This window comes from Homo sapiens, chromosome 6, assembly GCF_000001405.40.
Source record: "Homo sapiens chromosome 6, GRCh38.p14 Primary Assembly".
NCBI classification, from domain to species: domain Eukaryota; kingdom Metazoa; phylum Chordata; class Mammalia; order Primates; family Hominidae; genus Homo; species Homo sapiens.
This window is the reverse complement of record NC_000006.12, coordinates 41390344-41413721: the sequence shown is the minus strand read 5'-3', so window position 1 is coordinate 41413721 and position 23378 is coordinate 41390344. Positions and strand designations below refer to the sequence as shown.

The following is a 23378-nucleotide window of genomic DNA, read 5'->3' as shown; positions in this document are numbered from 1 at the left end:
GGTGATGGAGAAATTGAGCTGGGGGTGGGTTCCATTTCTGCTTAGAGGCAGGGGGCAGGAAAGGGTTGTGGGGGCCTGAAACATCCTCCCCCAGCTGCCTACACCAGCAGGAGGCGGCCCGGGGTTAATGGCATGACATCCCTGCGGCAGTCTGCCCGATGGGCTTCTGATGCCTTTTCTAATTTGGTGAGCGCTGAAGATTAGAAGGCAGGGAGAAGAGAGTTTTCCTCTCGCAGGTTATTATCCTGCCAACTCCCCCGGCGCCCAAGGGAGGGAGTCAGCGTGTTCCAGGAGAAAAGGAAGCAGGGCCTGGCATTCTGGATCGGGTGCCCCTGGGGAGCGGGGAGGGAGCTGGGGCTGGTGCAAATAAAATTGATGCTATTAATGGATCTGGTGCTGTTTGAAATGGGAGCAGGAGCCACCTCAGCAGCAGCAGAACTGGGAAGGGGGGAGTGGAGAGGGAAGGGGGCTTCCTGGAAGTAGAACTCACAGGTGCTGAGAGCCGAGGTCTTTGCCTTGAAGAGTCCTCGGATCTCCTTTTCTTGAAAAAAAGGGGCAGCCCTACCATGCTGGGTCACACTGTCTTTCTCCCCCAACTCCCTGCCTCCAACCTCAGCTCTAGGCCAAGAGTCTGGCTGGGTGCTAACCCCAGCTCCCCAGGGAAAGGCCGATGCCTGTGGGTATAGGTCACCTGGAACCTAGTCTAGAGAATTCCATCACACACCTGGCCCTGCCCTCAGTTTACACAGGGGAACAAGGAGAGAGAGAAAATGACAAAGCCGAGGATGAAGGAATGAGAAGAAAAAGAGGAAGAGGAAAGAGAGAATGGAAAGAGGGAAAGGCCACCTGAGCTCAAGGCTCCAACCTGCACCAAGCTGGGGGATGGGCAGGAAGAGACACAAGGGTCGGGACCCCAGGGGCTTAAGAGAGGGAACAGAGGACAGCCAGCTGCAGAGGAGCCCAGTCCTACTGACGGATGCACAAGGAGGCCAATGGCATCAGAGAAGCCCGAATGGGTTGCTTGGAGGTGAGTTCTGAGGTGGACTGAGACAGGGGGTAGGGCTTGGCAGAAGGTGCCTTGCATGATTAGGTCTCCACAGGTTCCAGGGGGAGCTGGCACCCTGAGTAGTGTCCTCTTCTGAAGCTACCCACACTCCCACCTCTTTTTGCCAGCCTTTTATTAGGCATCCTTCAAGCCCAAGCACTGCCTCCTCTGGGAAGCCCTCTCATACTGCCCCCAGCCTGCTTTAGGAGTTCTGTTCTGGGCACCCTGAACATTCTGTGCTGAGTCTGATGTGACATCGAAAACCCAGTCTTTATGCCTTGATTATTCTCTTGAAGTCAGTGGCAGTGACTTATTTATTTCTGTGTCTCTGGGGTATAGCACAAGTCTAGGCAATAGTAGGGGCCAAAATGTCTTTGATGAGTCAATTGCCATCAGCCTCTTCCTTTGTGCCAAGAGGAGCACCATTAGCAGCCCAAGGCTGGGAGTTTGGCTACTCTGGAGCCAGAAAAGGGCGCGAGGACAGCCCTCCTGGCCAGAAAGAACACCCAGGGAGGCCTGCCGCTGATGACTAAAGTTCTCCCATTAGCCCATCTTGTTAGGTTACGGCTGAGTGGTGTCATGAAAGGACACAGACAGGCAGGCCAGAAGTAATGAGTTCCAGCTCTGCCCTGACCCACTAACCGGCTAGGGGATCTTAGGCTGGGTATTGCCTCTCTTTGGCCTCAGTTTCCCCAATATGCTGAGGCTCTTGAACAGGATGCATTCTCAGGTCCTGCTGAGGCTGTGGCCTACATTGAACTGTGCCAGCCCTGAGGTCATACCTTAGCTCCTCTGAGAGACTTCCCTACCCAGTCACAACTGAGACTGGGCTGAGAGGACAGGGAAGAGAAGGATGAGGGGTGGATGGGGTAGGGCTGCTGTGGAGGGACTTAGCAGGGAAAGAGCCTAGGGAAGGCAGGTGAGAGGGAAACATTGGTCCACATTGCCCATCGGGCCGCCTGCCAGCCCCCAGCAGGCAGCCACGAGGGTCCAGGGAGTGGTGGCCTTGTGGGGCACTCACTGGATCTGGCATTTTTTTCCAGACCAGTGGGGTACCTAATGTGTTAGGCACCCTTAGTAAATCATTTTTAACACCTCCCATATTATCAAATTATCACCATGATGATGAATAACAAGTAAATAATAATGGCCAGAAAAGTCAGACAGTGTAACTGTTCTTTTATTCAACTCTGTATAATTGTATCAGGAAATAAACAAATACTACAGTACAAAAAGACAAAAGCAACTGATACTTGAAAATTATATTAATTTTGGGGGGTGGGGAGTAGGGGGAAGAAACACATGAAGAAAGACTCCCAAGTTTGCCGTGAGCCAAGATTGTGTCACTGCATTCCAGCCTGGGTGACAGAGCCAGACCCTGTCTCAAAAACAAAAACAAAAACAAAACAAAACAAAAGAATAACAACAAAAAGGAAAGCCTCCCAAAAGAGTAAACTGCAAGTTTCAGAGAATGATTTGCATGGAGAATAACAGAATTGAAGTAGCTTGAGTCTGTTACTTTGTCTTTGCAATCACTGTGCATCATTGTTGATTTTGAATCTACTGTTTAAAGGCAGGGATGTGCAGAACTATAGGATTTGAGACACAAACTGTGGCTGAAGCCAGCTCTAATGAATTTGAATTTAAACTTAATCTCAAAATGAAGAGTGTAGCTGAGTCCTGTGTATTCTGGGCTGACTATATACATGAGAGTCCTTCAAATTAACTATCAGGTAGTGTACAATCTTTACTAAAGGATAAGTAATAGAAATGTGCTAATTTGAAACTCAACAGTCACCACAGTAATTGCTTAGAACATAGCACAACAGACGAGTTTTTTTTTTTTTTTTACTTCAGGGAGGAGTATTTTATTACTGACACAAAATGGCTGGCGCATGGTGATAACAGAAAAAGCACATGACTTTTAGTAGATTTTATTATTGTTTTAAAATTCCCTACAGACAACAAACTTTTTCATTGCCTGCTCCTGCAGACACCCCCCCTACACCCCTGTTCTCCACTGGGGTTTGCGTATTTGCAGCCCCATATTCCAGAAACTTTCATTCCAAGCCCTTCCTATTCCAGGCAAGTTAAGAAAACAGAACAGAGGCAAATAGCAATGCATTCTAGTCAGGATTGTTGTTGTTACTTACTAAATGTAAAGGACATCTATTAGTCATCCTTCTAGTTCAAGCACTGCCTCCTCTGAGAAGCTCTCCTAGACTACTCCCAGCCTGCTTTAGGAGTTCTGCTCAGAGCTCCCCTAACATTCTGTGCTGCTTCTGACATGGCATCTACATCTCTGTCTCTAAGCCTGTCATTGTTTTCTTTTGAAGGCAGTGGCCCTGACTTACTTATTTCTGTGTCTAGCATACGAGTTGATATGGAAATTTTTCTTTGAATTAGACTTACTTGCCAGACTGGAGACACCTGGCTCTGGATCTTACAGGGACCCAGTTGAGACCAGCAGTTCTCAACTGGGAGCAGTTTGTTTCCCTCCTCACCAGGGACACTTGGCAATTTCTGGAGGCATTTTTGGTTATAACAACTGGGGAAGGGGTGGGTGGGTGTGCCACCAGTATATAATGGGTAGAGGCCAAGAATGCTGCTAAACATCCTATAACGCACAGGACGGCCCCTACAATAAAGATGTATCCAGGCCAAGCTTGAGAAATCCTGCTCTAGAAGCCAGCTTGGTCATGAGATACCCTGGATGCCCACTTTGCTTTTCCAAGTCCTTAAGACATGACAGGAGGCATTGCATGGCTACCCCCAAATGGTCCTGCCTCCACGGGCCCAAGCACCCCAAAATCAGGGTGATTAGTGAATTCACTACAAATCCCCAAATGAAGCTGGCTGCCAGGCCTCCTCTTCTGTGGAATGGGAAAGAGGGTAGGGTTCTAGGGAGAGCTTATCTTTCCTGCCTGGCCTTGCTTCTCACCAGGTCCATGCTCTAACTCCCTGCAGCTCAGTTTCCTATCTCTAAGGGAGGAGGTAATAATACTGATTCCACAGGCTCTAGTGAGGTCCAGCCAAGGTAATGGCCACGAGGGTAATTGTGGTCTTGACTATTATGGGATCAGAAATGTGGGACTCGGGTTGAAGCATGCAGGCCTAAACACTCCCGTTCCTCTTCCCTCCAAAAGAAGATGTAGTTTGTGTTGGTGTGGGGGGTGGGGATTGGGGCGGATAGACCCTCTCTCTCCTCCCCACTCCACCCTTGCTCGCAGGGAAAGGGAGGGAGGAACGGGGAGTCCCACCGGAGTCCCGGGCCTGTGGGTCTCCGCGAGCAGTCGGCAGGAGAGGGCAGGGTCTAGGAGGCCCTCGGGGGCGAGTGGCGGGCCCTGTCCCACCGGGGCCTGGAAGCCACCTCCCCAGACAGTAGCAATTATCGCAATCAAACAGTTGACACCAATTACGCGCCGGGCCGAGAGGCGAAGGCGGCTGCGCGGGCGCCTCGGCTTTGCATATCTTAATGCGGACTGACAGACGCTGACCCACGGGGGCGCCGGCCTTGCCAGCTCTCAGCTGTTCCTGTGGCACCAATTTTCAGAGCCAAATTACTGCCAGGGCCTGCTTGTTTGCAGAATGGAACTGCGTCCCAAAGGCAGAGCCGTTTGCGCCTCCAGAGTTCCCGGAATCTGCAGCGAAGAGCGCGCAGGGACGGCTGGAAAGGTCCTTCCCGGGAGGGCTGAGGGTGCACAGCGGGCCAGGCTCTGTGGATCTGTGGAAGGCGCCCAGCGGGTCCCCGGGCCCCGCTCGGGGGACCCATGGCGCATTGCTGCTGGGAAGCCCAGGTTCACTCCATCCGCTCAGCACGTGCGAGGTCTCACTCTTCCTCCTCCAACCCCAGTAGCGTGAGAGGCCAGCAGGAGGGATCTTGCCAGATGAAAAGCTCTCTCCAAATGAAAGACAGCCCTCTCTGGACGCTTTCTTCTCTTTGGGAATTCAGCAATGTGTGTTTGCTGCGCGCAGGAGCGCTAGTTATTCACTCAGCTAGAGACTCTCGGGCTGGAGGCGGCGGCCGCCAAGACACCGAGCCTGAAGGGTGGAAGTGTGAGGATGGACTGGGCCTACCTTCATGATATGGCACAGGACAGCTCAGGGACCCATGGAGCCGTAGCTTCCTGACCTGCAAGGCCTTCTAATTTTAGGGCAAAAATCACTAAAGCAGTCCTGATAAGGTCATGAGTAAGTCCAGGTCCGGCATAGGCAGGATTGGAACCAAGGTCTTTAGGCAGTGAGATAACCAGGTGCTTGGCCGCTCCCTTCACTAAACTTCAGCCCAGCTCCTCTGCCAAGGCTGCAAACTCCCGGAGGATCCAGTTTGTCCTTCTACCCCTAGCATAATGCCAGGCACCCTGAAAGCCTGCTGGGTGGGTGAAGGAGGAATGGAACCAGCTCAGGAACTGGTTCAAGTCCCTTGCTTTCATGCAACCACCAAGTCCTTGGTTTACCATGACCTACCCACCACCTCCACCCCAAGTCCCAGGGCGTTTGAGAGGAGCAAGGCCAAAAGGCTCTGAAGTGGCCGTGCCCTGGGCTCTGTGAGACCTCCTCGCCTGGCGGCCTCTCAGGCCTCCTCTTTGCTCCTAGACAGTCCCTGACACTGGTGCAGTGTGGAGTCGCAGAGGACTGCAGTGAGGAGGCTCCCCTGGGGAGCTGGTAGACTAGCCATCTGTGCTGGTGGCCTCTGAGCCTGGCAGGAAGGAGGAGACGGATCACCTTACAAGAGGCTCTCCTAGACGAAGAGTTTCCCTAACTCGACTGTGTCTCTGCACACACACACACACACACACACACACACACACACACACACACGCCTTGAGCTTCCCATTACCCACTCCAGACGGCCCGCCAAATCCTCATCTCTCAGACGCGCCTCCATCCTATTTTCCAAGCTTGTGAAAAAGAACGCTTTTTGGAAAACTGCTCATTCCTCCCTCCCTCCCCTAAAAGGTGTTCAGGCCTCCCCATTATTCAAATGAAAAGACAGACTCAGTAGGGGAGGGAGTTCCCAGAGGAGCTGAAACTGGGGCTGGGATTCGCTGAGGCCATAAAGTTCTGCGCCACTGATGGGATAACTCCAACTCTGCCTGCCTGGTAGGGCTCCGTCCTGGGGATGCCAATCCTCCCGCCTAGTCAGAGCAGTACCGGGGTAACTACCCCACTTTCGAGAGGTGGCCTGGGGATCCCATTTAACTTTCAGCCCCACTCCTGGCCTGGGCGTCTCCACCGCAAAGAAAGCACAGTTTCTGCGCGGATATCCGGCTCCTATCTCTGACCGCGGCTCTTCTGAGTCTGGGTTCAGACCTTGCGGCCCAGGAATCCGAATTCTAGGCCTCCTTCTTTAAGACGCCAGGGCTGTGCTGCTGGTTTATTAGGGCTTCGTCCTGAGGTCAAGAAAGCGGGCACGAAGCGCTGGGGGCAGAAGCGTTGCAGGCGTCCCCTTAGGCCCTGGGTTGCCACGTGCGCGTTCCGTCCCTGTCCCCCTGGAGCAACTGCGTTAGGCACTGTCCTTGCCACGTGTGGCGCCCGGCCAAGACGGCCGAGGCAGACACTGGACCTGGGTGCCAAGCGGAAGTGCTTGAGATTCCGCCGTGAGGGCGTCGCTGTGAGCCCTGGCAGAGAGGAGGCCCGGGCCCCTTGGTTGGGCCGCGGGACAACCGAGGCCCAAGCCTGTTTCCCGCCGCGCCGCGCCGCGCTCTGGTGCGCTCGGTTGGCGCGCCACGTCCCAGCGCCGCTCCTCGCCCGCCCCCAAGCCTAGGGCGACTTTAACCCAGTTTGTAACGATTCCCTGCTCGGCCTAGAGGGCGAGAGACGCCCCCGACATAGGCGGCGAATGTATGTCGTGTCAGCAAGTGCATGGGCCCTAAAAGGCCGAGCGGGATTCCTGGGGATTAAAGATCAGACACAGGGAGCCCTGTTCTCTCCTTCTCCGCCCTCTTCCCCACCCCAGGAACAAGAAAAAGAAAAATCTGTTGGAAACGCACTTTTCCCCCATACCAGCCCCCTACCCCCAACCTCCTTCTGCTTCTGCTTTCACCGACTTAAAAGAAAAATAAAATACATTCCAGGAACCAGGACGGCTGCAGAGCAAACTCAAACCAGAAAATGCTTAAAGATGTTTTAATGACTTAAACACAGGGGCCAGTTTGTGTCTAAAAGTTTCCACATTAAAAAAAAAAAAAACCCAGCAAATTAAATATTAAATATCGTCCCGGCCCCCTCCTCCAGCCGCGTGCCCGCCCCTCCGGTTCCTGTAGCCTTCTGCGCGCTGCACCTCCCGGGTTTCCTCTGAGCCTCTGCTTTCAGCTGTGGGTTATTAGCACCCGGTGTGAACAGAGACCAGGCCCCTCCATAAAGTTTATATTCACATTCCAAAAACGTAAAAACAAGGAAAAGGGAGAAAAACAACACCCTAGGTACAAGCCCAACTGCTCCTGCAAACAGAGGCCACCCCCCACCCCCACCCTCAAGCCCAGGGCCAGAGGAACTGTTAACTAGCAGCTGACAGATTTTTACAGCAGGAATTAGGCCCTCATTTGGCTCCGGATTAGCCCAAATCTTCCATCTCATTACAGCCCTGCCTTGTTGGAGCCCCCCCTTTCTTGGAGTTGGGGAGTTGCAGATAGGTCTTTGGGGTCCCAGCCAGCATTCTCACTCTCTAAACTGGGGTAGGATGGAGCAAGGAGACAGGGTGGACACAAGTAACTGGTGAGATATGGGGTCCTGGGCAGGGCTGGCAGTGGCCAGCTGGAGGGCCTGCAGGAGTTCTCTGAGGCCCTCAGTTTCTCTGTTTCTCTGAGGCCTCAGTTTCTCTGAGGCCCTCAGTTTTTCAGGTGGTGTGAACTGGACATCTACCTCTATGGTGAAGATGAGGTCATGTGGTGGAGAGGCAGGTGCTGGTTTAGAAATTGGTCTTCTTATGAGTCCAGGGAAATCCCAAACCTTAGGAATAAAAATAACAATTGTAGCACTTACTGAGCAGCCTCGTATGTAACACTCTATATTGAGCCCTTTTATATTTAATCCCCATAGAAAAACCATGGCATGGGCACTATTGTTACCATCATCTCATTTTACAAATGAGGATGCCAAGGCTTAGAGAGTGTAGATATCTTACCCAAAGATGCAGCTGGCAACTAGGAGAGCCGGAATTCAAACTAGGGCTGAGGGGCTCTAGGGCTCTGTGCCTCCAGGTCATACTGCCTCTCCTGCCAAGACTGCAGCAGGTGCCCACTCTATAAACATCTGTCCCTAAGCTCTTGGTCCTCATTTCACCCAGTGCTATGGTGTGAATGTGGGAGTGCCCCCCAAATTTGTATGTTGGAATTTAATCCACAATTGGGGCCTTTAGGAGGTGATTAGGGTCATGAGGGTGGGGCTCTCCTAAATGAGATTAGTGCCCTTATAAAGTGACTTGTGGGAGACTGCCTGCCCCTCCCACTCCTTCAGCCATGTGAGAATGCAGCAAGAAGGCAGCATCTTTGGAGGAGAGAACAAGTCCCCCCTCCCCATAGATACCGAATCTGCTGGTGCCTTGATCTTAGACTTTCCAGCTTCCAGAACTGCGAGCAATACATTTTTGTTCATAAATTACCCAGTCTAAAGTATTTTGTTATAGCAGCCAGGATGAACTAAGATGCCCACTAACTGATTATCAGAAACTTTAAGCCCAAATTCCTGCTGACGTAGTTCTGACCCTTTTCTGTTTTCTGTTCTGAGACAAAGACCAGTGCTTCACCCTGTCTTGGGCAGGATGCACCCCTCTGGATTTAACAGCTGTTATGCTAGGACACTGGTAGGGCAACTGGCTTCTCTCCTGTGCTTCCTTGACCCAACGAAGCACTTTAGTGGGTGTGATCACCCCAGAATGCAGTTAGGCATTTGCTAAGAGATCTGGGGAAAAAGGGATGTTAAGGTCCCTAAAACGGAGAAGGGCTGGAGGAACTGGAGCTCTTGGCAGCTGCCCAGATGTTTGGCCTCCTGGGAGCTTTGCTCTGCAGAGGCAACTCCAGCTGTTTATGGCATCTTCTTCTTGGGAAGTTCAGTGTGGTGTGGGAGGCGGTGATGGTGATGGAAGGGCTTGTGCCTGGACACAAAAGACTCGGTGAGGCCCTAGCCTTCTCCACTCAGGAGTGCTTTTCATGGAACAGGCTGCTGCATGGTCACACATTGCCACTTGAGAGTCAGGCTAGAGTAGGAAAATGTCTGGGAATTCTGGAGTTCTTCAAAATCCCTTTTTTTAAAAGTGGAAATTTAAGGAAATTTTGAAGCATGTGTCATACTTAGACTTCAAGTGCCCTTTACACAGTTAAATCACTTTGTCAGTGTAGGAATGTAAAAATGTTTTATGTATAACTTGGTTTGCTCATAAAATCCTCATTTGAGTATATTTAGAAATGTGAGGCCAGAGAAAGGGAAGTTGAAATTTGAGGGAAAATCTCCAACCCCTGGACTTAGAGCGAGAAAACAAATACAAGGTGCTGTATTTATTACGTATGTATTTATTTATTTTTTTGGTCTCCTCATGTGGTTAGGCACATGCGTGATTCTGGAGTTTGGGTGTCAGAAGCTGCCCTCCTCTAGGAAAGGAGCTGCCTGGGGATCAGGGCAGGGAGTGGGAGAAACAAACTGAAAGAAACACCAAGGGCAGGCAGAGCCAGCGAGGTGAGTTTCCCTAGGGATTTGGAAGGAGCAGGAGCACGGCTGGTATAATGGGTAGGCCATTTTCCTCATGGCAAAGTCATCCCATCAGCAGCTGAAATCAAAGTTTCAGTGCCTCCTTATTACATTAATGAGTCCCCTAATGTAACAGGGGAACGGAGAGTCTCCCTGAAGTTGCCCAAGAACTCCTAAACTCAGTTCATTTCTTTTTTCTTTTTCTTTTTCTCTTTTTTTTGAGATGTAGTCTCGCTCTGTCGCCCAGGCTGGAGTACAGTGGCATGATATCGGCTCACTGCAACCTCTACCTCCCGGGTTGAAGCAATTCTCCTGCCTCAGCCTCCCAAGTAGCTGGGATTATAGACGTGTGCCACCACACTCAGCTAATTTTTGCATTTTTAGTAGAGATGGGGTTTCACCATGTTGGCCAGGCTGGTGTCGAACTCCCGACCTCTGGTGATCCACCTGCCTCGGCCTCCCAAAGTGCTGGGACTACAAGCGTCAGCCCCTGTGCCTGGCCAACTCAGTTCATTTCAACCAACACTTATTAGGAGCCTCCAGGGATACCCATGTGAATTAGATCCAGCCTTTGCCCTTGCAAGAGCCAGATACAGACGACATCTGAGGACGACAACTACTACTTACGGGGAATGGTCTGTGTGCCAGGCACCGTATCAAATTATATATGTATTATATTAATGTTAACACAGTTAATCCTCACTACAACCTCACTAGATGAGTCCTATTTAATATATTTTACAGGTGGGGAAACTGAGGCATAGCTTGATTAAGCAACTTGCCCAAGTTCAGCTGGGATCTGAACCTAGGCATTCTGTGCCCCAAGTCTGTGCCCTTAACCATTCCAGTATTCAGGATGCTCGGTGAGCATCGGGGAGGGCATTGTCCCTGGCCTGGGATGTCTAGTCGTTCCTTCAGGGATGACCCCTGAGTGGCGACTACAATCACGAGTGAGACCTGGAGAGGCAGAGGCAATGGGGGAGAACATTGCAGGCTGAGACAATGGCTCAGAGCAAGGTGTCACCATACAGACCTTAGCACTGCACATCAGGAGATACAAGTGTTTGGGAATTTCTAGAATATAAATAAAGTGTGAGGTCAGAGGGGGTAGGAGAGGAGGCTGGGGAAAGGTAGGGGGAGGGCCAGACCATAGTGTGCCTGTACCATGCTTGGGGCTGAAGGTATCTCCTGCAAGTGATGAAGGGCCATTAAAGGGGTTTATGCCAGGGAATGATCCAAGACATTTTGCATTGTGGATAGAATTCTCTGTGGGAGGGGAGCACAGTGGAGAAATGACTGGATAGAGGTCAGAGGAGAGGCAAGCACACCGGTCGTGAGCTAAATGGGGAACCTGAGTGGGTTACTTGATGTTGGGAAAGAAGAAATGATTTGAATTAGACAAAAAAGAGATTGTTTTTCATTTTTACTTTGTATGTCTATTTGTAGTCTGCCTTATTCCATTGGAAATTTTCAGCTGGATCTCTTTGACTTGCTGAATTCTTCCTTGAATGTTTACTTATTTTTTCCCCACTAGATGCTCACCATTGGGAAACATAACCCAGTTCACATCACTCAGTTTCTTTTCTGAAAACTGGCATATTTATTATAGCTGGTGACCATGCAAGCAGATTTACTGGGTTCAGTCCTGATTATACCTGTTATGTAATTATTAATAGCATCCCCTTTCACTCTACAAAGTGTCCTGGTTTGAATGATGAATTATATGGTCAACGTAATTACAGCACATATATGAAAAACTATTGCAGCAGAGCCTTGACTCTATATGGTGCCAAATTACATCTAGGTACATTAAAATGATCTTACTTGCTCCAAACGATAATCCTGAGAAATAGGCAAAATGAAGGTTCTTGGCACTCCTCTTTTCTTTCTTTTACTTTGTTTGTCTGTTTGTTTAACAATGAAGAAAAGGACATTTAAGTAAGTTAAATGACATGCTGAAGGCACACATCTAGTAAGAAGTAGAGGAGGGATATGACTTGAGTCTTCTGCTATCTAGACCAGTAACCGTCTGCTACACCCTAGACTCTTGTCCTATGCTATGGTCGATTAAAGATGGCCACATGTTCTCTGCCCCTCCTCCCATCGAAAGGTGAAGTCTAATCATTTTCTTTGAATCGGGTTGGTTTTAGTGATTTGCTTAGCCAATAGAATGTGAGAGAAGTGACATTCTGGGACATCTGGGAATAGGTAATAAGTGAAGTAGTTTCTGATTAGATTCTTTGGGACACTCGGTCTGGGAAAGTTCCAGCCACCCTGTAAGAAGCCTAACTACCCTGAAACTGCCATGTTGTAAGGAAGCCCAAGTTAGCCATGTGATGGAGAGAGAGAGAGATGCCTGGCCAACAGTGGTGTGCTGGTAAACCTACTCTGTGAATGAAAACTGCCCTGATTTATAGTGTTTGTTGATTTCTGACTGTAATTAGTCTCACCAGGGCCAATTTAAAGTTACCAATAGTATAACAACTGCTTGTAAAAAATTTCTGAATATTTAACAATTGGCTTTTGCAAGCTGGTACAAGCCAGCTTAATGCACCATGGCTTCCCAGTGTCCAGCCATATGAAACATCCTAGCTGAAACCCCAGATATTGTGAAGCAGAGAGGAGTTGTTCTTGTTGAACCTCACCTAAATTGCAGGGTCATGAGCAAAACAGATGATTATTGTTGTTTTAAGCTGCTAAGTTTTAGGGTAGTTTGTTACTCAGCAATAGCTAGCTATAGGATGTGGAAAGACAGGTATGAACGTCCTTGAAGAAATGAAAGTACTCTTGGCAAGGTGTGGTGGCTCATGCCTATAATCCCATCAATTTGGGAGGCCAAGGTGGGAGGATTGCTTGAGCCTAGGAGTTCCAGACCAGCCTGAGCAATATAGTGAGACCCCATCTCCACAAAAAATAAACAGAATTATCCAGGTGTGGCTGCACGTGCCTGTGGTCCCAGCTACTTGGGGGGCTGAGGTGGGAGGATTGCTTGGGCCTGGGAGGTCAAGGTTGCAGTGAGCCATGATTGTGCCATTTCACTACAGCCTGGGTGACAGAATGAGACCCTGTCTCAAAAAGAAAGAAATAGAAGTACTCTTGAAAATTTAGAGAACCATTTCTCTCCCTGTTTTCTTTGCTGCCATTGAACTGGTAAAATATTTGAGGTGGGCTGGGTGTGGTGGCTCACGCCTGTAATCCTAGAATTTTGGGAGGCCGAGGCGGGTGGATTGACTGAGCTCAGAAGTTCGAGACTAGCCTGGGCAACATGGTGAAACCCCTGTCTCTACTAAAATACAAAAAAAAAAAAAAAAAAAATCTGGGTGTGGCGGCATGTGCCTGTAATTGCAGCTACTTGAGGGGCTGAGACAGGAGAATTGCTTGAACCTGGGAGGCGGAGGTTGCAGTGAGTGAGATCGCACCATTGCACTCCAGCCTGGGCAACAGAGCAAGACTCCATCTCAAAAAAGAAAAAAAAAATTGGGGAGTGAAATCTGCAGTTCAGTTCTTGTCTGATTTTTTAAATCAAATTTAAAAAATTTGATTGCTTTCAGTTTGGACACGTACGCTCCAAATCTGCAGTTTTTGAAGTTGGAGATGGAGGTTGTGTATGCCCTAGGTGGATGGTGGTGTCTTTCTGAGGCATGGAGACTTTTGGGGGAAAAGCTGGGCTGAGAATTGGATGGATTAAGGTTGCAGCGACATTGGAGCATCTGAGTTAAGGTGTCCAGCAGAAAGGCTGAATTAGGTGCACCTGAGTTATGATTTTTAATATAGCTCAGCACCTAGTTTCTAACAATTAATTTACTTATTATAATTTCAGTGTTGGTTTGTTGCAAATTATAAAGCCAGCAAAGCTTGTCTTCAGCCCATGTAACAACCACCTCCTTCCCAGTTTCTCCTAACTTTCGGTGCCCACTTGAGATCTTTTTCTTTCCCTGGGGAATGTGGATTTAAGTCTTATCTGTTATTGTGGAATGGGAAGTTTGTTTCTTAATGTATTTATTATCTATTGCTGTGTAACAAATTACTCCCAAATTTAGCAGCTTAAAATAACAAATAGTTATTATATCACAGTTTCAGTGGGTCAGGAATTTGAGAATGACTTAGCTGGGTCATTCTGGTTGAGAGTTTCTCACTAGGTTGCAAGCAAGATGTTGGTTAGGGCTATAGGCTTGGTAGAGGCTGGAGGATCCATTTCCAAGATGGCTCCCTCACAGGGAGTGTTGGCAGGAGGCCTCCGTTTCTCCCATGTGGGCCTTTCCACAGGGTTACTTTAAGTCCTCACCTCGTGGCAGCTGGTTTCTGTGAGCGAGCGAGTGAGTGAGAAAGAGAGAAAGAGAGAGGAGGAAGAGGAGGAGGAGGAGGAAGAAGAAGAGGAGGAGGAGGAGGAGGAGGAGGAGGAGGAGGCGGTGGAGGCAGCCACAATGCCTTTTATGACTTGGTCTTACAAGTCACATACTTGTGACTTCCAACATAATTTATCTGTTAAAGGCAAGTCACTAAGTCCAACCCACACACAAGGGGAGGGGAATCAGGTCTTATGTTTTGAAGAAAGGAGTACTGAATAATTCCTGGACATATCTGAACACTACCACACCTTTTAAAGACATTTCAGATAGTAAATCAGGCATAGGTTAGGGGCTGGGGGTGGGGTGGGCAAGAGACCTATGTCCTGAATTCACACCATATCTACTTATAGTACTTTTAAGATGGGCCCTGTTCACATAAATGATTATATTGTAGAACGCTACAATGGAAAGGGACCTCAGAGGGCTTTCCAGGGGCCACAAACTGGTGATCATGGGTTTAATTTGTCCAGCAGATCTCTTTTGTTTGGTGAAATCTTAATTTAAAAAATTTGATTGCTTTCAGTTTGGACACGTACGCTCCAATTTCCCTATCACTCCCTATTGTCTTATACTGGCCAATTTGCTCGTTTGAGTGATCCACCTGACCCCTGGGGGTTCCTGAGTCCTCGAACCCCTGGTTCTTATCCTTGCTCTCATTTCAGACATAGGGAAACTGAGGCCCACAGAAGAGAAGTTGACTTGCCCAAGGTCGAAAGTTGAGTGAGTGACAGAGTTGGGTCCTGAACCCAGGTCTCCTGATCCTAGTTCAAAGCTCCTTTCACCTTATCAGCTTGCCTTCCGACCTCTTGTCAAAAGTGGCATCACAGTCTTCCCCCTTGTCCTGGAGAGCATCCCCTCAGCTCAGCTCACCATTAATACCATTAATGACATCCCCCTCTAGCCCCTCTAGCATCAGACATGAGTGAGGAGAGAGATATCTTTTATCCATATACAAAGATCTAAAGATGGAAAAAGTTTAAGTACCATAGCCCTAGAGAAAAAGAGTCAGGGAGTGAATGCTGGGAAAACATGGGGGGAAGCAGTGTGGTGTGAGAGGGAGACCCTGGAGGATATTTCAGTAGGTTAATAACCTAAGCTGTTGCCAAGTTGAAATTAGAAAGAGGAAGGCTCTGCCTGCTGAATGTGGAGGAGGGGGCTAATCCTGTCCTTTGATAAATGGATGACATTCTAGCAAAATGAGACGCTCCGCCCCAGTGGCTGCAGGGGGACATTGGGCTGGGAGGCGGGGTGGGTAGGGGGCCTCTGGAGCCCCAGCAATGAGGTTAAGATGCAGAACTGCGAGGCATCAGTACATTAGCAATGAAATTGCAGTAACTTTGGCAGCTCTTTATTAAATAATCTGTGATAGATACAAATGGGCAGCAGTGTCTTAGTTTGGAGTGCTCTCCTGACCCAGCTTTTCCCGAGACCTGTCCCTTCTCCTGTCTTTGGGGTCTTTGCTAACCAATTCCCCAGCCCTACTATTTTTCCCCTTATTGCTCCTTCTCCTTGGTTCTAACCCAGACTTCTGTGGTTCTTAGCAGCTGCAGCTTTTATCACCCCATGAGTGGGTAATGCTTTTCAGGCTGACCATGGTGGGTGCAGGGACTCTCTCCTCCCCACCTCGCCCATCCTGGTGTCCTTCATCTCTGAGGAAGACCTGGAGTGAAGAAGCCACCAGCTTTTTGTATATTTTATGGGGAGGAGCAGTCCTCCCCGAGTCTCCCCAAAGAGGGGTACATGGCTTGGCCTTCCGAGAGCTCCTCGGTGTGCTACCACTCCCAGCCCCAGAGATGTCTTTTTTCGGTCTCTTAAATTCACAGATTTTTATGCCTGTAGAGGTTTCAGAGCTAAGGACTAGGCCTGAGCAAGCTTAAAACAAGCTCTGTCCCCTACCCCCCACCAATGCAGTCCCTCTCAGCTCTACCCTCAAGTCTTCTAAATGTTGAGCAGAAGGCCAGATATGACTTGATGGAGTGACATTCTGAAAGGGAAGACAGTCTAGGAGGCTGGGCAGAGCTCTTGAAGCCTGACTCATAGGATGCAATGCAGGCTTCTCCCAGTTCTCTCCTTCTTTCACTAGGGAAAAAGTGGAGATTTTTGTTTTCCATGCTGGGCAAAGTCCTAGGCACTGGGGGTTTAGAAAGAAAGGGGATATGGCCTTGTTCCTCCAATTGCTCAGTTTGGCAGTGTAGAATAATGATAATAATAACAGCTTATCAGAGCTACTCTAAGCACTTCATATGCATCACAACATATGTGTAGATATCACTTAATTCTCACAATAATCTTATGAGACAATGACCATTACTATTTCCCATTAAATAGGGAGGCTTAGTAACTTGCTCAAGGTCAGGTAGCTAGTAAGCGGTTGAGATGGGATTTGAACCCAGGCAATTCAGCTCTAGCTTCAGAATCTGTGCTCTTAAAAATTAAATTCCAGCTGGGTGTAGTGGCTCACACCTGTAATCCCAGCACTTTGGGAGGCTAAGGTGAGTGGATCACTTGAGCCCAGGAGTTCAAGACCAGCTTGGGCAATACTGTGAAACCCCGTCTCTACAAAAAAATACAAAAATTAGCTGAGTGTGGTGGTGCATGCCTGTAGTCCCAGCTACTTGGGAGGCTGACATGGGGGGATTGATTGAGCCCAGGAGGTTGGGGCTGCAATGAGCCATGATCGCATCACTGGACTCCAGCCTGGGTGACAGAGTAAGTCCCTGTCTCAAACAAACAAACAAACATTCATTCCAATTCAGTGTAATTTTGTGGTGGGGGTGGGAGGGAGCAGTATGAGACCTGAAAGAGATGTTAAAGATAATTCAGACCAATCCTAATGCATCAGCTGAAAAATTGAGGTTCTGAGAAGCGGAGTAAATTTCCCAATGTTAGAATCACTAAGAGAGTGTTGAACTCACTGTCCATTTTAATGGACCCCTTTCCCTTACCCCACAGCTGCTGGGAGTTTGGGGAGGCTTCTGGATCTGAGAGACGCATCCAGCAGGGAGAGGACGGGCATTCCAGGCAGGGAGCCCCGCAGGAGCCAAAATAGAGGCCCGAGATTCCTGGTGGCTGGCGCACAGGGAGCCTGGGGCAGGCAGCCAGGTGGGTGGAAAGTGGGTAGGGAGGGGTTGTAAAGGGCCTAGCTTATTTTGCTAAGGAGACAAAGGAGAGTTATCAAGGACACCATGATGACAGGCACATCATTGAAACTCTCTCTGGCCATTGTGTGTGGAAGAGGGGCAGGAGGAAGACTGGCATAGCAAGATTCCCAGAATTCTCTGATGTTCAAAGGACATTTATAAACCTTGGTGAGAAGAGTGCGTAACAAGGACACAAAGGAGGAAACCAAGTGCCCGCAGGTCAGATCCCTACCTTAACTAAAGTTTTCAAAAAAAAGTTAAAGAGAAGAAAGTGTCAGAACGAGTTGAAAAGCCTCAGACCGATGGGGTTTTACGAATAGCTAATAGGGAGAACGGAAGTTTTCAACTGGTGTTTTGCATTTGTCTTCACAAGGAGAAGACTCTTTGCATTGAGGCATGTAAGGTAAACATTAGTATGAGAGAATCGAGAAGGGCAAGAGGCTGTAAGACAACGCCTAGTTGCTCTAAGCAAATTCAAGTCTCTGGAATAATGAGCAGTGAGAGACCCTGGGAAAGAGCTTGACCAAGTAGCCCAGGGAGGGTGGGAATTCTGGAAACTGCTGACTGGTCGTCTAAGGTTGACCTCAATTATGATCCCAGATGGGGTTACTGGGGGTATGTTTGTGATAGTCTTCCTACTTCCAGTTTTTATTTTTCAAGTAACTTAAAAAATAAGTTATATAAAACTTAATAAAAACAATACATGCAGATAGTTTCAAAAGTGAAATGATGCTAAAAGAGTTTACAGCAAAACCCAGTGGTCTCCTGTTCCCTGGCCTGCTTCACTCCCCATGCTGGTTACTTGCCAGGCTCACCAGAAACATTTTCAACATTTTTCACTTTTTTCTTTTAGCTTTTCAACATGTTCTGGTACTTACTTCCATATTTTAAAAGAATGTGTATATAATGCTGTCTCTTGATTTATTCATTTTAGGTGATTTTATAAACTTCCCTTGGCAAATATTACCAGTCTTCCTCCCCTTCAGAGCACATGGAAGACTGTACTGTCAAGCCCCTGCCTGTTCAACAGGAACATATGACTGTTTTTGGCAAGTGAAATTATAAGAGGAGAGATGGTAAAAACTCATGCATCCTTCTCCATTCTCTGTGTCCTGCCATGGGACCAAGGATGCCATGTGTTCCAGAGGGTATTGCTACAAGCTGGTGGAGCTGCTGACTGAATCCCTGAATGATCACATGGAGCAAAGCCCCTGAGCATCCATGTGAGCAGTGTTGTGTAAGACAAAAGCATATTTTGCCATTTAGATTTTGGACTTCTTACTATTGAATAACTTAGCCCATCCTGACTAATATATATCTTATTATGAAGAGTTTAGCTATTTACACTCCTTATCTAAACCTCTTTTAATTACATCTCAATTTTTGGTTAAGCCCATCATCACTGTTTTCAATTTAATGATCATGTAAAGATTGTTCACTGCTGAGCTACACAGTATTTTATGATTAAATCTCGTTTATTATAAAATTATTTATTTTGCTAGATTTAGTAATTATCTCATTTTATGACTAAATTAGTTTTCTTTGATATTCTGACTAAAATCTTCTCATTCTTCAACAACTTTATACAAAACACACCTTATTACAATTTTCCACTCTGTTATATTGTCATGTAAGTTATCAGTTCTACTTTTCTTTTTTTCCCGGAGAAAGCTCCAAACTTCTCTCCAAACTTCTGCCCTAATATGGACTGAAGGCTCTCTGGGCCTACACGATTGTTGTTCCCTGTTTTCTGTTCTGCATGTTGTCTTCTTTTTTGCCTCAATTCCTCTTTTGGGTGTAGCCCATCCTCTAATAGCTTTCTGAGAAAGGGTTAATGGAAGATATATTTTTTAGATTTTACATGTCTGAAAATGTCTTTTGACCATGCTTATATGTGATTGATAAATTGGCTGGGTATAAAATTCTAGGTTGAAAATAACCATGCAGATGGTACCAGCTGTCCACCAAAATCTTGGGCACACAGTCAGACTATACTTCCCAGCTTCCTTTGCAATAAAACTTAGCCATGTGATCAAGTTTCGTTTAATGGAAATTTTAAAACTCCAGACTTAGCCCATTCAAAACTTCCTGAGTTTTTCCTCCATGCTTTCCCCCTTCTGGCAATACAAATGGAGACAATAAAAATGAAGTTCTAGGGATTTGTAGAGCCATGAGATGCAAGGAGCATCAGTTCTTGAATGATCACACATGGAACAGCCCACCCAGTAATTTATGTGGGCTAAAAATAAGCAACTGTTGTTTTAAGCCACTGAAATTTTGAGGTCTATTTGTTAGCAGCCTAACTGTACTCTAGCACAGAAATTGATTCTAGAAGTAGGGTGATGCCATTACAAAAATTAAAATAAATGGCATTGGCTGGGAAAAGGTGGTGAGAAAACAGATATAAACAGATAGGCCTGATGAGCTAGGAGGAAAGCATTTAGATACCTGAGAACATTTAATCTCCTACTGGGTCTCTACCTATAGTGAAAGAGGTTGGAGAAAGGTGGGTGGGGTTTGTTGCCAGTTATTTAATTCACTTAGCAGGTTGTCAGTAGGAAAAAAAGAGCTCAAGAAAGAACTGGGCTATTTGTAAGCAGAGATCAAGGGTTGAAGAAACAGTTTCCAGACCCCACAGAGGAGGTGGTAACACTGAATAAGTATTTGAGCCATAAAGACCAACGAAGTCTTCTCAGTTAAACCAAAGGACTTATTCCTGCAGCAAAGATCAGGTTAAGGATATTGTCTCTCTAATAATCCTCTTGCTACAGATGGCCTTACAGTAGCTGATATTTAACAAATGGGGATTGGCATGGAGCTAAAAAAGCAAAAAAGAACTCAAACAGATTTAAGAACCATGTATAGGGAATTTTGGAAGTGGTAAGTGGTGCATGTAACCAATGGGAAGCAAATAGATCAGAAATCTTTTTGCAGGAAGAAATTGCATTTCTCAAGAAATCACAAAGATGGTCTTTAAAAAGTTCAGAAAAACACGTGGACCCTCAAGCTTCCATGAACCAAAAGTGCTACAAAAGCAGTGGGAACTCCCAAAAGGGGGATACTACTAATAACTCCTTCAGATCTGGCCACAGGAGATAATAGACAAGGGAGAATTTCCCAGAGGGCAGAGCAGGGGCCATGGAAGGCAAGGAGACTCCTCCCAGAGAAAGGATACAGGGTCTAATGCAGTAACCCCCTCTATTGCCAGGGCAGAGGGTCTTCACAATGCTTGTCTGGCAGGGTTCCATCATTGTTATGGACAAGGCACTGCCTGTGTCTCCCAATCTTAATTGCAATTATCCTATATTTTGGGTGTGTGCAGGGGTGGGGAGTAGAGCACAGTTCGTAAGTCTGTGGACCAAGAGAAATTCCATCAGACTTGTTGGAAAGGACTGTACATCACCTAGAAGTTCTGGACACTGAGCTGAATGCAGAGGCTAGATGGGGTTTTGCTTTGACTCCCTTGGAAAGGGACTGGATGTCTTCTACATGTGGCAAGAAGGCTACACACACCACTGACCGTGGAAGAGAGACTGCTGGCTGGGCATCCAAATCTGTTATTTCTTCTTCCTCAGCATGAAAGTAAGGTTATATTTCTCAGCTTTCCTTGCAGGGAGGTGTAGCCACAGGGCTAAACTTTCCCCAGTGGAATGTGAGTGGAAATGATATGTGTCAATTTCAGGACAGGTCCATAAAGACTTCATCTGTGCAGTTTTCTGTGCTCTTTCCTGTTTTACTGGCTGGCTGCAGATATGACAAGAAGACTCCAGAGGAAACATCATAACCTGTGGTCCACAGACCCTAAATTCAGGGAAATCTATGAACTTGGATGGGAAAAGTACATCTTTATTTTTCCTGACCTTAAACTAGTTGAGCATTTCTTTCTATTATAAATGTAGACAATAAACCACAGTGGTGTTAGCAGTATCTGTGACTTTGTCACCAGTAGAAATCACAGATATTTTCATATCACATTACAGTTGTTGCAGATAGCTCAAAATATCATTACATTCATCACTACTTAGAAACCGCGGCAGTTATTAGACCTGCCACTAGACTGCACATAATTGCAGTCTTCCTGTTGATAGACAGCTGTGCCACACAACTGGCCGATGCTGAGCAGGGGAGGCATTCCACCACCAAATGTGGAAGTCACATTTGCTCGCAATCTATGTTGCTTTCCATAGTCCTTGCCTCCAATTGTTGGTCAATTAATATGTGGAGGTAGATGCATTGTTTGTTAGAGGTTTGCAAAACTGGATGATTCAAATAAGAATTATTTATTTATTTATTTTCGGAGATGGAATCTTGCTCTGTCACCCAGGCTGGAGTGCAATGGTGCGATCTTGGCTCACTGCAACCTCTGCCTCCTGGGTTCACGCAATTCTCCTGCCTCAGCCTCCCGAGTAGCTGAGATTACAGGTATGCGCCACCATGCCTGGCTAATTTTTGTATTTTTAGTAGAGATGGGGTTTTGCCATGTTGGCCAGGCTGGTCTCGAACTCCTGACCTCATGATCCACCTGCCTTGGCCTCCTACAGTGCTAAGATTACAGGCATGAGCCACCGTACCAGGCCGTCAGATAAGAATTCTTAGCCCTCTTCAATACTGAGAGGTGTGCAGGCCACAAGTGTAGTCAGTCTTCACAATGATATATCTTTAAAAAATAAACGTAGCTTAAACGCACTTATGTTTTAAATGTTTTGTCTTACTATTTATTCAATTAATACAGAAACACATTTATTACTATATCACAATGGTTTTTATTTATTTTGATAGTTATATGTCCATATAATTGTTTTGCTTTATACTACTATGTGTTTTGTTTTATGGATTTAAAAATGTTATCAGAAAGGGTCTGCCAGATAGTTAAAGGGGTCCAGGGCCCCAAAAAGGTTAGGAGGGGGCCTGTGGTATGGCTGCGCCTCAAGGTGGAAGAAGCTTGGGTCTCACAGAGGAGTGCCTGCCTATTACATGAACATCCATCCAGGACTACTATGTGAGCAGAAATAAACTTCTGTTGTGTTAACTTGGGAGCATATCCTCCCGAATGCAAAGATTGATCCATTGAATTTTTTTTCTTTTTTTTTTTTTGTGGTGATGGTGACTCACTATGTTGCCCATGCTGATTTTGAACTCCTGGCCGCCAGTTATCAGCTTCCCAAAGCGCTGGGATTGCAGGCATGAGCCACTGTGCCCAGCCCCTACTGTTAGTTTTGAGAAGTCCAGTGCCATACTAATTATTAATCTTCTGTATCATTTCCCTGCTTTCTGTAACTCTCACCCTCTCACCAATGTCTTTTCTTTTCTTTTCCTTCCTTTATTTCCCTCCCTCCCTCCCTCCCTCCCTTCCTTCCTTCCTTCCCTCCCTCCCTCCCTCTCTCCCTCTCTCTCTCTCTCTTTCTTTTTCTTTCTTTTGGATTTTTACTTTCTCCCTTTGTTCTGAAATTTCACATGTGCTCTAGAGTAGGTCTTTTCTCCACGAATTATGCCAGGCTCTCTCAGTGGGTCTTTTTAGTCTGGGGACTCATATCTTTCAATCTGGGAAGTTCTGTTATCTCTTAGGCAATATTCTGGTTAGCTATTGCTAACATTGTAGCAAATCACCCCCAACTTAAGTGACTTAAAACTATAACCGTCACTTTATAACCTCTCATGGATGTTGGAAAATCTTTGCTAGGTGGTTCTCTGTCATGAGATCATAGTGAGATGACATCTGGATCTGGAACCGTGGGGACTGGAGCAGCTGGGGTCTTATTGGACATCTCTCTCTTCTCAGGGCATCCTATGTGATCTCTCCACAAGGCCTCTTTTGGGCTTCCTCACAGTATGGCGGCCTTTTTCCATAGTGACAGCCAGCTTCCGTAGTGACTCAGGACTCTAGGGCAATTCTTCCTGCAAGCACGGCAGAAAAAATGTTGCCTTTGATGGCTACCTTCCTATCATACAGTCTCCCTTCTACCGTGCTGGTGAATATACAGTCACAAAAGCCTCTGAGGATTCAAGGGCAAAGGAATTGCAAAACTGGATGATTCAGATAAGAATTCTTAATTCTCCTTAATATTAAGAGGTGTGCAGGCCACAAATGTAGTCAGTCTTCATACTGATATGACTTTAAAAAGTAATGTAGCTTTAACTCACCTATTTTTTTTTTTTTTT

At 47.1% G+C, this 23378-nt stretch overlaps 3 annotated features.

The window, feature by feature from the left end:
• Positions 3932–4738: an enhancer, noted in NCBI's record as "H3K27ac-H3K4me1 hESC enhancer chr6:41376722-41377528 (GRCh37/hg19 assembly coordinates)". NCBI's record gives its function as "activates a minimal SCP1, AML or CMV promoter by ChIP-STARR-seq in primed H9 embryonic stem cells {active_cell/tissue: H9 hESC(primed)}" and the evidence as "EXISTENCE:reporter gene assay evidence [ECO:0000049][PMID:30033119]".
• Positions 4739–5546: an enhancer, noted in NCBI's record as "H3K27ac-H3K4me1 hESC enhancer chr6:41375914-41376721 (GRCh37/hg19 assembly coordinates)". NCBI's record gives its function as "activates a minimal SCP1, AML or CMV promoter by ChIP-STARR-seq in primed H9 embryonic stem cells {active_cell/tissue: H9 hESC(primed)}" and the evidence as "EXISTENCE:reporter gene assay evidence [ECO:0000049][PMID:30033119]".
• Positions 6354–7162: an enhancer, noted in NCBI's record as "H3K27ac-H3K4me1 hESC enhancer chr6:41374298-41375106 (GRCh37/hg19 assembly coordinates)". NCBI's record gives its function as "activates a minimal SCP1, AML or CMV promoter by ChIP-STARR-seq in primed H9 embryonic stem cells {active_cell/tissue: H9 hESC(primed)}" and the evidence as "EXISTENCE:reporter gene assay evidence [ECO:0000049][PMID:30033119]".